General features: G+C 44.0%; 1 annotated feature.

The window, feature by feature from the left end:
- Positions 11,374–12,573: an enhancer, noted in NCBI's record as "CDK7 strongly-dependent group 2 enhancer chr17:15181646-15182845 (GRCh37/hg19 assembly coordinates)". NCBI's record gives its function as "activates an origin of replication core promoter dependent on BRD2, BRD4, P300/CBP, MED14 and CDK7 cofactors, with strong dependence on CDK7, by STARR-seq in HCT116 cells {active_cell/tissue: HCT116}" and the evidence as "EXISTENCE:reporter gene assay evidence [ECO:0000049][PMID:35650434]".

Consider the following 13,440-nt stretch of genomic DNA (forward strand, 5'->3'; position numbering starts at 1 on the left):
CGTCAGGCCAGGATCAAGCCTGAAGACACGTAAGATTATTTCTGATCTAAGAGCTAAAGATTCAGAGGAAAAGGGGTAGGGCCTGGTGAGTGTGGGGCATGGCTTCTGGCCAGATAGGAGCAGTCTGATTAGCCCTCCCTCTCTCCTTCCATGAGCTCCACATTCTGAGACCTGCTCTCTTGGCCTCACGTCTCTTTTGCCCAGGTCCTCCATCTCCAGCAGCCAAACCCCGAAGTCCCTGTTGGCTGTCAGCAGTAGAGCTGTTCACTGTTGTGTGCCACTGGCCCTGTCTACCAGATGCCAACACACTTGTCTTTACCCATCTGGGCCAGACTCTCTTCCCTTCCCAGAGTCAGGTGAGGAAAACTCCTTCCTCGTCTCCCATTTCCAATAACCTTTTCTCAGCCAAATGGGACCCCTATCCCATGCATCTGTGTTGAGCAATGTCTCTGCAAAGCTGTAGGCTATATCCCACTGAGCCTCTTGCAAAATAAACACATAGAATAGTCACCAAATAACATTTATTATTATTTGCTATCCTCCCTTCCATTTACAGATAGGAAAAATGAGAATCGGGATTCTCTGAGGAAACACAGTTGAGTCAATGAGACTGGCTATTTCTAGCACCTGAGCTGTTCTGCTACACCACGCTCCATCGGCTCAGTAGCATCAGTTATCCGCAAGTCCTTGATAATGATGATAATAGGTTATATTTACTTCGTGTTTAGCATATGCCAGGCACCATCTTGAATATTTTATATGCATCAAATCACTTAATCCTCACAACCGTATGAAATAGGCACCCCATCATCCTCTTTTAGAAGAGGGAGAAACTGAGGCACAGCGAGATGTTCAGTCACTTTCTCAAGACACACTGCAAAGAAATGACAGAGGCTGGATTCCAACCAGGCATTCTGGCTACAGATCCCGTACTCACAGCCTGGACTATCTCACATTCTACCGTGCCCCTAATTGTGCCCAGCACGTTCCTAGCATATCTTCTCATCATGCTTCCATAGACACTATCATTTAATGTCCTATTTGTATGAAAGATATTCTCACATTATACATATTTATGCATTCACGTTTCTTTTTCCATTAAAAAGCAAGAACATATCCTAAGACATCCATTTTTTTTTCAGCACCAGTCACATTTAGTACAGCTTTCAAGAATCCTGTCTCATCCTGCCAACAAGGCTGTGTGCTCCTCCGAGGACATTTGCATTCCATATGTCTGTATAGCATAAGCACTGGCAGAATCCTGCCTGTAGGTGAGATTTTAATTTCATAAGAATGAAATGTTGTCCATGACAGTGGAATCCCAGCAGACTCTTGAAGAGGGAGGAAACCCTTCCGCACTTTATAGCTAATAAAATGCTGTTAACATATGGCAGTATCTTATTTAAGAGGAATCATTATAATCATTTTCTATGTGAAGAAACTGAGGCTTGGAAAATTTACAGTGTTTCCTCCAGGGACTAGCTAGTGAATGCCAGGGCTGGGGCTTAAAAAAGTCCATTCCTCTGACTCCCAAACCTGTAATTTTTTCACTGTGCAGGCTCCCCAGAGAGAAAACCAGAGGCAAGTCTGAATTTGGTGTTTGTCCAGGTGATGAAGTTGTTGTTGCAGCATCTATCCCACCAGGTGCTCAGTCAATATCTGAAAAGTGTTTACACTAAGAATGAAGTCTTTCCTGTGTCCTCATAGCCAGCAGCCTGTGTGGGAGTTCTTGGCCAGCCCTGGACACAGCTGGCCTGGAAGGGTCCTCAAAAGTCAGTCCTGCCTCATCTAGACTCAGCTAGACTGTTTTGATGTCGAGTGAGAGCAGCTTGTTGAAAGAACAAGCAAGGCAGGGAAAGAAGGCAGAGGGGAAGGAAGGAAGGAAGGAAGGAAAGAGGGAGGGAGGGAGGAAGGAAGGAAGGAAGGAAAGATGGAAGGAGAGAGGGAGGGAGGGAGATATAGATAGGAAGAGGGGAGGGAAGAGAAGGAGAAGGGAGAAGAAAAGGAACAGAAGGAGCCAGTTTGACTTCTGTGACAGAATCTTCTACAAATAAGCAAGTTTGAAATTATGACAGGTCCCAATCCCTAGAAGATATTCTTTATGAACAACACAGACGCAGTCAGAAAGCAACATAAAGACACACACAAAAAAAAACTCACATTGGCACAGGACTGTTCCCTAAATGACATCTTTAAAATATAGAAAGGTATCTTGGAGTAAATTGTATATTAACTCCTTCACCTGTGGGAGAGAGAAGTCACAGAATTATTATGTTGTGGCAGTGGGACCAGACCAAGTACAAAGGATTCTCTGTTCACAAATGCATTGTTGCTTAGGAAAGCCAGATTCCACAGATGCAAGTGGAGGGGGGAAAGCAGTCTTTTCTCTGACATCTCATGAGTTAGCAGCTAGAGGATTGGGGAGCAATTTAAGCAAGAGTCAGAAATGGATGTGTACTTGGGATTGCAAACTCTAAAACTTTTCTAAGACTGTTTACTCCTAAGTGAAAATGCTTCTGCTCCAGTAGGGCATAGGTTCAAATAAAATGGGGAAGCAGAGCAATCTTGCCACACGGGAATGGACGGAATGGGGAGGAATGCAGGGATTTTCTAGGCCACTGCAGACCAGGCATAGAAATGTCGAGAAAAGCAGCCTTGGCTTGATGTGAGAGATTGTCCTTATTGAGAGAGGTGCACAGGAAGGCCCATGTAACCCAAGGAAATGCCTGCTTCAGGCAGTCGAAGCCACACCAAGAAATGGAGCATTAATCTCCAGCAAGGACGAGGTGAACGCAAACGGTCCTGGATGGGACCCTGGGAGGACAAGCCCCACGACGCATCATAGTCCCCACAATGCATCATTCTGTGTGCACTTCTGAGCCTAGGGAGCACCAGTTGTACTTAAAATGAACTGGAGACCAGATGTTTTCTTCATCTCTGAGTTCCTGCACCACTTATCAAGTGTGAAACCTCAGCTAATCCAGGGAAGTTCACAGACAAAGGTCAAATCCTTTCGAGACGTTCAAGGGAAAGCCGGGCAAAACTTCAAGAATGTTTACTCTTCATTGTTAGACTAGGAAATATCTAATCTAGAGGGTTTCAGTGGTAAGCCTGGGCCTCATATAATTGTTTTACTTTAAATTTTGGGCTCAGAAATTAAAATTCTAGAAATGTATCTTTAGAAAGTCATGGATATGCAAAAATTTGGCTATAATGGTATTCATAGCCAAATAAAGGTGATATGTTTTATAACAAAGAAAAGTGTGAACATCCTAAATCTCAAAGACTAGAGGAATGATTGAGTAACTTTTGGTACAGTCATAAGATGAAATATTATGTAAGTATTAAAAAATAATGTCCAAGAAGAATGTTTAATGAAATGAAGAGCCATTCGTGATGGATACAAAATAGCACACCTATAATTTGTTGAGCACTGGCTATGTGCCAGGCACTGTGCTAACCCTCTCATTAAATACCTCCAACAATCCCACGAGGGGAGAACTGCCGTGACCCCCAAGACACCCACACAGTGAGAAAATGGTGGAGCCAATATATAAACTTTGACCACTTGAAGCCAAGACCCCAGGTTCTTGACCACTAAATGCCACCAAATGTACAGTCTTTGAGTACCACTGTGACAAAAATGAAAGTAAAACTGAAAGAATGCGAAGACTGAAGAATGCAATATGACAGAATTTGTTCAACACTGTGTCTCCAAGTTCTAACATTAAATGGGAGAAATAACTGCATGGAGCTGAACACATAACAGGATTCATTGTGACGAGCGATCGCACATCTCAGCCTTGTGCCTCCATCATAAGGAGTCTGTGACTCTGTAACTTCGGTGTAGGAAACGCACACTGCGTCAACCCCAGGGAGGCACTGGGAGGGCCACGAGCCAGGTCTTGCTTCATCTTTTGCACTGACCCCAAGTGGAGTCACTCCAGGCACAGAGGTGGTATGGCAGTATTGGAATAAGCTGTGCATCTTACAATGTTGATGGTAAAATGCAGGCATTTATATAGACCATGAGTTTAATAACTGTACCTTATACTTATTTAAATACATTGGGAGATTAAGAAAAATAAAAGGAAAAAAGAGAAGTGGTTTTGAAGTTTCTTGGTCTTGAGGGAGCCTGAATGAGCCAACAGTTCATTGGTTTAGTTATGTGACTTTAAATATGAGAATCCCTCCAACCCACAGCAAGAGCATGGTCAGACATGTGGTTCAGATGAGTAAAACTGCACTGACATTTATGGTCAATTTGACCGAGGGAGAAAACTCTCATGGTTTCCAATGGTCTATCACCTACTGCATTGCCTTCTTTCTCAGAATCCCTCTCCCTCTTGCTTTCCCTACCCTCCCTCCCTTTACCTCTCTCTATCCCCTTCCATTTTTTTTCCCTCTCTCTCTCTCACGTTCCAGCCTCACAATGTGAAACCATAATGAAACCGCAATCACTTGACTATCTGAATTCTATGATTTTGTGAGCTCCTTGATTATTGGGAGACCCCAGGTCATTTTCGAATTCCTCATCCCAGCAAAATGTTTCTGCCCATCCTCCCCAGGGGACAGTCCCCATGCTCTCCTGCTTTACTCCTGTCTAATCTTGGATCATTTAACCTGCAACTGTGTCTTGGGAATCGCTAGGAGGAAACACGATTACAAAGCATTTTCTAAATGTATGGGACCATGGAATTTTTATTCCCAGGTTACCTCCAAGACTTAGGTTCCACGGACCTCACTGTTGGAAACATTGGGCTCCACGATTCTAGTCTCTAACCATGGAGGCGAGCTGACGACAGTCACTTCAGGAAATGAAAAGGCAGATTTGAAGGCAGGAGGTAGAGGCTTAAGGACTCCAGGCCAGCGAAGAGGGAACAGAAAACATCCATAGAAGCCAACATTGAAGAGAAATGCCAAAGAAGTGTGTTGCTGTGATTCTGAGTAAGGAGCTGGGTGGATGTGGTCTGAGGTCATGTGGTTCTCCACAGGAGAGACATCGTTCCCAGTGGGGCTCAGGCTCTCCCTCGTCATATGTTTATTTCCCATTTGGGGAAGAACACAGTGATTCAATTCAGGGAGTGACCTTGTCACAGTCTTTGGAAGAACTGCCCAGAACCCAGGTAAGGCATTCTATAAATGAGCCCACGATGGCCTCTGGGTATTGACCACTTGGTAGTTTATTTCTTCACAGCAGGCTGGGAACCATCAGCTCAAAAGCCCACTGGCCTCAAATTCAAATTTTTACACATCCAGTTATTCTTAAAGTAGCTCAAACAAGCAGCCTTGTTAGCCGCTTGGAACCTGCCTGCTTTGCATGCCCCATGAAATCTTACTCGCATCGGCTGCCCTGGATACCATAGAGCCTTGTGGCTCTAAGACTCCAAGCTGCTATGGCCCTTCGGAGCTTTCTGACCTGGAGACTCCTCACCACACTGCTGAGTGACGTTGGTATCACCTAAACTAATAAGCCCTGTCTCCATGTCTCCCTGCCCCAGGAGTTCCCTTTTCTCTTTAGCTTTCTCCATAGTGGCCCCTGAAAGATCCCCAGCTGTGAAGGATTTTCCCCATCCTGAAACCCTGTCCAAGGCCCACCAATAAAGTTTGTTGTAATTTATTGCCTCTTATTGTCTTCTTTTCTGATCAGATCCCTTCCTGGAACAAATCCCCACATATGGACCGGGAGGGGTGGGATGCAGAGGAACCTGGAGATGGGCACAGAAGCCCAGCAAGGCCGCCACCATCTGTACATGAGGGAGGGGCAGGAAATCCTCCAGAGAAATGGAAGCATCCTGGTGGCCTCATTACACAGGCCTTCCCAGCTTCCTCACGTCACCCAGGGAAGAGTTTCTTCCAAAGAACCCAGGGGAAAGTGGTTCATGTGGATTGCTAGGGATACACCCCCAACTGGAAGGCCTTGTGAAAAAACCTTCACCCCGCAAGCTGAGAGCGAAGACTTGTTAGGAGGCTGAATGCATGGACTTCTCAGCCTTGGAGCTATATCAAATAACCTGGTGCCTCAGCCCGTGCATAAGCCCAGTGGCAGTCCACATGGTATGCTCCCACTCAGGGGACTGAGAGACCCCTTTTCACCCAACAATTTCAGTGTCTGATTATCAATCCTTACCTTTTCCACACAATGTTATGTGCAAATACCTCAATAGAACCCAATCTGGCAGGTCTCTTCTTAATAATTGCACATTGAAATGTCTGTTCGTCATCTAGGCCAGCGGTTTCTTGTATAAAGGAAACAAAAGTCATATAATTCCTTTTACTAAGGTCACTGACCTTTGCAGCTTCTTCCACGATGAGAGAGTAAACAGAAGATGACTAAGTGTTTTTGACATCCAAAGTCACCCACAGCCAGAACCAGAGTCTGGGAGAAGTGTATTTTGGACATCGTGACCTCAACTATGTGAAGGAAAGGAAAACTGAAGTCCTTTTAAAATAATATTCATTCAATAGATATTTATTGAGCAACAGCTACAGGCTAAAAGCAAACATCACACAGCCTCTTCAGTCTTTATTAGCATGCAAAACTAGCCCCAAATGCTCCCCACCCCTGTAAGGATGCCCCCTTGTGATGTGGCATTTCTGCTCCCTTCATCAAGAGGTGAAGTCTGATTCCTCCACTCTTTGAGTCTGGACCTGGCCATGTGACCTCCTTTAGCGAATGGGACATTAACAGTGTGACACAAGCAGAGGCTTTAAAAGAACATTCTCATTGGGATTTGCTCTGTTGCTCCTGGGGACCCTTCCACCATCATCTGAGCAAGGCTGGACAAGCCACTGGATATTGACAGGCAACACTGAGAGAGATCTGAACTGCCTGTGCCATCCCAGCTGAGGTCCTAGACACATGAGCCACCACAGCAGAGAATAGCTGTGCCTGATCTAGACCAGAATGGATGCCAAATAAAGCCCAGCTACCCCTCAATATTGTGAAAAGGAGTAATTTGTTGTGTTAAGACACACTAAGTTTTGGGGTGGTTTGTTACCCAGCAAACACTAACTGATACATTAACAATCCTGGACTTTGGGTTAGACACCAAATGCATTAGATTTGCAAATAGGTCTCTATGCCAGCAGGGGCAGAGGTGATTATCCCTGGCGGTAGCAAATTGACTTCCACTTGTTCCACTGGTTGTCTGGGACCTGAAAATGGACTGTAATAGTTGGCTCAGTTTCATCTCTAAAGGAGGAGAGTGGTTAAGGCCAGAGAGATTGAGAAGATTCCTGGAGTTCTTTGGGAGTCACTTGACTCTATAGAGACTCTCAGGCATTTTCTGAGAGTCTTGTGGTTCTCTGGAGAACGCTATGGATCTGTAGAGAGTCCCATAGATTTGTGGAGTGCTCTGAGGTATAGTGTCGAGGAGGACTTCTCAAACCAACTGGGGTGAAGCACTGTGTTTGTTTGTTCTTTATTTCTAATTCATCACAGTCAGTGACATGACCTACAGGCGGGCCATGGGAGATGGAACATGCCCACTATCATGCACTTGGATGCCACGACAACATCAAATTTCTATCAAATGTTCTAAAGTTTTATTCTCACTGTCTGTACTCATTTCACCACAGCCCTTTAAAAGTTTGTGAATTGGCACTGGTCCCATGTGGGAACAACACTTTGAGTAGCTTTGCTGTAGAAAGAGCTGAGGAGGGGCCTCTAAGTATACAGCCCCAGGCCTAGAACCATGAACTCCCAAAAGTGAAATGAGCTTGACCATTAACATTTTCTTTGAACACTGAACCAATATGCCATTTCTTCAGTGCCCAATGCAAGACCTATGGAAAATCAGATAACAGGTGTATTTGTCTGTTTTCATGCTGCTGTTAAAGACATACTGAGACTAGAAAATTTACAAAAATGAGAAGTTTATTGGACTTACAGTTCCACATGTCTGGAGAGGCCTCACAATCATGGCAGAAGGCAAGGAGGAGCAAGTCACATCTTTCATGGATGGCAGCAGGCAAAGAGAGAGAGCTTTTGCAGGGAAACTCCCGTCTTTAAAACCATCAGATCTTGTGAGGATCCATTCACTATCATGAGAACGGCATGGGAAAGACCCACCCCCATGATTCAGTCATCTCCCACTGGGTCCCTTCCATAACATGTGGGAATTATGGGAGCTACAAAATGAGATTTAGGTGGGGACACAGAGCCAAACCATATCAACAGGAAAACGTTTATAAAGAACAGAACATTTACTTCAGAAGGGCACTGAGTAATAATAATAACTCTCATCATTTAGCACCTCATTGGCTAGAAAAAGTAGTTGGGGTAGGAAGCATTATTCCGTAGCCATCCGTGAGCCACAGTCTTTTTTTTAATAATATTTTTAATATATACTATTCTTTTGAGTGTGGACATATTTGTAATCCATACAAATGATATTGTGCTCTAAGACCTCATCGTTTTTCATTTTTATTCAACACTGCTTCTGAAATCTAACCATGTTGCTATGTGTACATCTAGTTCAAGTTTCTTTCTATTATTATTACTATGATACTTTAAGTTCTAGGGTACATGTGCACAACGTGCCAGTTTGTTACATATGTATACATGTGCCATGTTGGTGTGCTGCACCCATTAACTCATCATTTGCATTAGGTATAGCTCCTAATGCTATCCTTCCCCCCTCCCCCTATCCCATGACAGGCCCCGGTGCGTGATGTTCCCCACCCTGTGTCCAAGTGTTCTCATTGTTCAATTCCCATCTATGAGTGAGAACATATGGTGTTTGGTTTTCTGTCTTTGCGATAGTTTGCTCAGAATGATGGTTTCCAGCTTCATCCATGTCCCTACAAAGGACATGAACTCATCCTTTTTTATGGCTGCATAGTATTCCATGGTGCATATGTGCCACATTTTCTTAATCCAGTCTATCATTGATGGACATTTGGGTTGGTTCCAAGTCTTTGCTATTGTGAATAGGAGCCACAGTCTTGATGACAAGGTTGATCAAGTGCCAGTTCGTCCCTGAAAGCTGGTACAAGGAGTGCTGGCGAGGGCTGCTCAAGGAGCCACAGAAATGACCCCCCAGTGCTGGCTGGAGTTCTCATCCACTTTGTTCTCTGTACTCCAGCTGAGCCCTTTCACCAATATGGCTCTACCCTCTCTGGGCTCTATGGGCCACACTAAGTACTTGTCAGGGAGGAAAAAGGCCCATCGCAGGATTTGTTGATAAACATGTAAAAGGACTCTAAAGGGTCTAAGAAGTTGTGCAATAAAAACAACAAAGTAGAACAAAATAAAAACCTGTTTATGGCCTGTTTCTTAGCCAATTAAGATCCTTTTTTCCTGTAACCCAAAAGGTAGCATGATGGTGCTTTGAACTATGTCCCAGTACATTTTCCCTTCTAGGTGATGGGTGGGTTACTACTCATGGTTTCTCTACCTTCAGACCCTGGCACTGGCATTCTAACCCTGGAAATTCTCTTGTGACCTCCATCTGCTCTTTATCTCCCTGACTCTCATTTGTCCTCTAGGTCTCAGGTTGTTATTTTTTGGAAAGTTCTTAAACTCCCTGAAAGGACTGGTTACTAATCCGTCTCTTGTATTCTTACAGCACCCCACGCTTCCCCACAAAAAGCACAATGTATTAGACCTGAGTTGTCTTTTTCTTTGTCTGTCTTCTGCACTAGTCTCTGAATTGGGCAAAAACACCATTTCTGACTCATACCACATGCTCCATAGATGGCTGCAAAATCATAAAAGTAAATTTTAACCTTATAGTTCTGGGCAGAAGGTAAGTGGCTCAGCATGTCACAGAAATAAACCCTTGGCCAAAGTTTTGTTGCATGTGTTTTCGTCCCACAAAACTGCAAATATCACAATCCTGTCACATGACATGAAAGAGATTGTGTGCCTGGGAGCCTGTGCCAAGCTGTTCTTCACCCGGAGGGAGCCCTCAACTGAGATGGGGTGGGGGACCCCAGGCTGACTGCTGACCTCAGTCATAGCTGGACCTAGAGGACTGGAAGTGAGTGAGATGGAGAGAGCCTCAGGTCACTAGGTCAATTTTATAATTCCAGTTCAAGTTCAAAGGTTTTTTGTTTGTTTGTTTTTGTTGTTGTTGTTGTTGTTTTAGACCGAGTCTCACTCTGTTGCCCAGGCTGGAGTTCAGTGGCGCGATCTCGGCTCACTGCAACCTCCGCCTTCCGGGTTCAAGCAATTCTCCTGCCTCAGCCTCCCAAGTAGCTGGGATTACAGGCATGTGCCACCACGCCCCGCTAATTTTTGTATTTTCAGTAGAGATGGGGTTTCACCATGTTGGTCAGGCTAGTCTTGATCTCCTGACCTCAGGTGATCCACCCGCCTGCTCCTCCCAAAGTGCTGGAATTACCAGCCTGAGCCACCGTGCCCAGCCCTGACATACCTAGATTTTTAACACTTCTCAATGTCATTGCTGGAGAGTCATTTTTAGGTTAGGAATACTAAAATGAGCATGATTCAGTTTATCCAAAGTTTTGGGATAAAGATGAGATGTGGAGGGAGAAGGCTGGAAGGAGGCATTGCTTAGGGACAGTGCGGGTTCCTACCCAGGTGTGTTCTAGCAGGCTGGGGAGAGCAGAAGGCAGCTGGTGCTTGAATAAGGGGTACCAGGAGCAAGTAGAAGGAAGATGTTGAGAAAATTTAGTGAGTACCAAAATGTGCTAAGCCCTAAGCGTATCACACACTGTTTCTTGCATTCTTCAGAGTAGCCATACACAGTCAGCCTTCCGTATCCAAGGGCTCTTCAGATTCAACCAACTGCAAATTGAAAATATTTTAAAATAAATAAATAAAAATTAACAGTGCAACAAAATAAAAAAAGACAAATGTTTAAAATGCAGTGTAACAACTATTTACATAACATTTACATCATATTAGGCAATCACAAGTAATCTAGAGATGATTTAAAGTACACACAAGGATGTGCACAGGATATATGCAAATACTACACCTTTTTATATCAGGGACTTGAGCATCCTCACGTTTTGGTATCCTCAGGGGCTCCTGGAACGAATCCCCTGAGGATATTGAAGGATTACTGTAATCTCAAATTATCTTAGGCTCAGAGAAATTCAATGAGATGTCCAAAATCACACAGTTACCATGAGTATATAAAGAACTATACTCACTAATGATGCAGTTTCAGAGAAATTTTTTTCAGAGCTTTTTTCCCCTTGCTTTAATTTTTTTTATATACCTAAAGTGACAGTGTTGAAGTTCCACCCAAATTCTGTCAAATCCCATTTGATCTTTTCCGTGTATCTGCTCCCTGGGCTGCCCCCATCACTCGGCTTCCAACAGCCAGTCCTGCCGCTCTTCTCTGTAGCCTGCTTGGGCTTCTGAGCCACTTAACCTGCAGGCAGAGAGAGCTGGGAATGCAAGAGCCCACCCGCCTGCCCCCCACCCCACCTTGGCCATTAACCAGACTGTCAGATTGAGGAAAATGAAGTCAGGTCGCTAGCTTTGGGATAGGATAATTATGGGCTGGAACCTACCTTCCAATGTTCCTCCTGGGATCAGGCTGAAGCTACCCACTGTGGATTTTGCCTGAGATCATACCCCTGCACGGCTTCTTCTCCTTGCCTGCCCTGTTTCCCCTCCCCCTTCGCCAGTCTGCCCTGGGAGCCCTCGCATAATAAGTCACTTGCTTGTGAATCCTTGTTGCTTGTTGCGGTGTCTGCTTCTGGGAAACCTGACCTTAGGCACCACCTCACATATTTTCTTAACGGTGGTAGAAAAGGAAAGAAGCAAACAGGAGAGCAGGGAAAGAAGACAGAAAAGATGAAAAAGTGGTTTCACTTTGGATTATGGGCTGTCCTTTGTCAGTCATGGCCTCATAACACATTAGACTGAAATTTCTGAGACATTTCTTTCCACACCACTGTTTCACATAATTGGTGCTTTTATGTCTAAAATTACAAAGAGACTATAACATTTAGAGTTTGCAAAATACTTGAGTAGGCTAGAGGGAACTCAGATTGGAAACTGGCAGCTGATGGGCTGAACTCAGCTCACTGATATGTTTGGTCTACACAGTATTGGGTCACAGTGTTTTAAAACTGAATTCATTTTCAGCATTTTAAACCTAGAGTCACATGAAAATCCCTGCTTCTGGCTTCTCTTGAAAAGCTGGGCTATTTGGCAATGCCATGTGTACATGACTGTATGGCAGGAGTCATTTGGAGCTGAGTAATGGCTCACAATTAGGTAGTATATTAGTCAAGATAGAATGGACTCTGCTGAAATAGCAAATAAAATCGAAATCTTAGTGGTTTAATCCAAGGAAAGATGATTTCTTAGTCACTCAAAGTCCAATGAGGGTTGGTAAGCACTATAATCCAAACAGTGACTCAGGGATCCAGGATTCCTCCTTCTTGTGACTCACCTTATCAACAAGTAGCCTCCAAGGTCACTGGGGGAAGAAAGAGAAGGTAGAGGGAGGAACACGTGCTCTTAATTCCCTGAAATGTCATTTTTCTTCAGAGCCTGTTGACCAAAATTAATCCAATGGACCCAAGCCAACTGCAAAGGGGACAGGGAAATATGGGAGAGCACACAGAATCTGGTGAGCATTGTCTCTACCATAGCGAGATATGTATTCTATTTTACCAACTCTCCACAGACCCTACTGCCTCCCTGAAACTGACATTTATTTTTCATTTATCATTTTACACAATCCTCTTCACTCATTACATTACTCTGGGTTAAAAGAACCTGTATGAAATTGGAGAGCGTCTGGAATCCTAAGAATACCTCACCTCCCTCTTCAGGACTGACATGATCTGAAGTAGCCAGGAGCTTTAGACAGGCCTCTCCAGGGAGGAAGAAGCCCTCCAAGGTCTTAAACAAACCCTTCATCCAGTGACTAAAAGATGCCCTTTTCCTAGACAGAGGTGACATCCAGTTTTTTCCGGAGGCCAGACCTATCACCAGCACCTATTTCTGTCTCAACAGACACCGGCAACTGGCAAAAAAGAACCTTTTGAATAAATGTGATGTTTTCTCTGTTTGTCACCCAACATCTCCAAAAAACCATGTCTAAAATGGTGACTGAGTCTTCAAACCAGGCCACAAAATCTACTGAACAAAGAATGTGGTTGAAATTCCCCATGTGGCTGAATTCCCTATGTGGCTAGCTAGGCATGAAACTATCACTTAAAACCAATTCTATGGGAAATGATATTTCAAGGGCAAATAACTGACTTATGAACAGTTCTTACAATTATTGCTTTGTAAACTAGAAATTACTTGCAATGAACTATCTGAAAGTGACTCATTAAAGGTCAATTTTTTCCCCTGGTTCTTGTATTAAAATTAGATTTCAAACTCCTTTTACCCTCAGGGTAGAAGACACCTGCAGTAACCAATTAATATCAATCAAAAGCTGAGAGAGTCCTTCACAGTCTTGGACAATTGCAAAAATCCTCTGCCTAATAGAACTA

The sequence above is a fragment of the Homo sapiens genome, chromosome 17, assembly GCF_000001405.40.
Source record: "Homo sapiens chromosome 17, GRCh38.p14 Primary Assembly".
Classification (NCBI taxonomy): domain Eukaryota; kingdom Metazoa; phylum Chordata; class Mammalia; order Primates; family Hominidae; genus Homo; species Homo sapiens.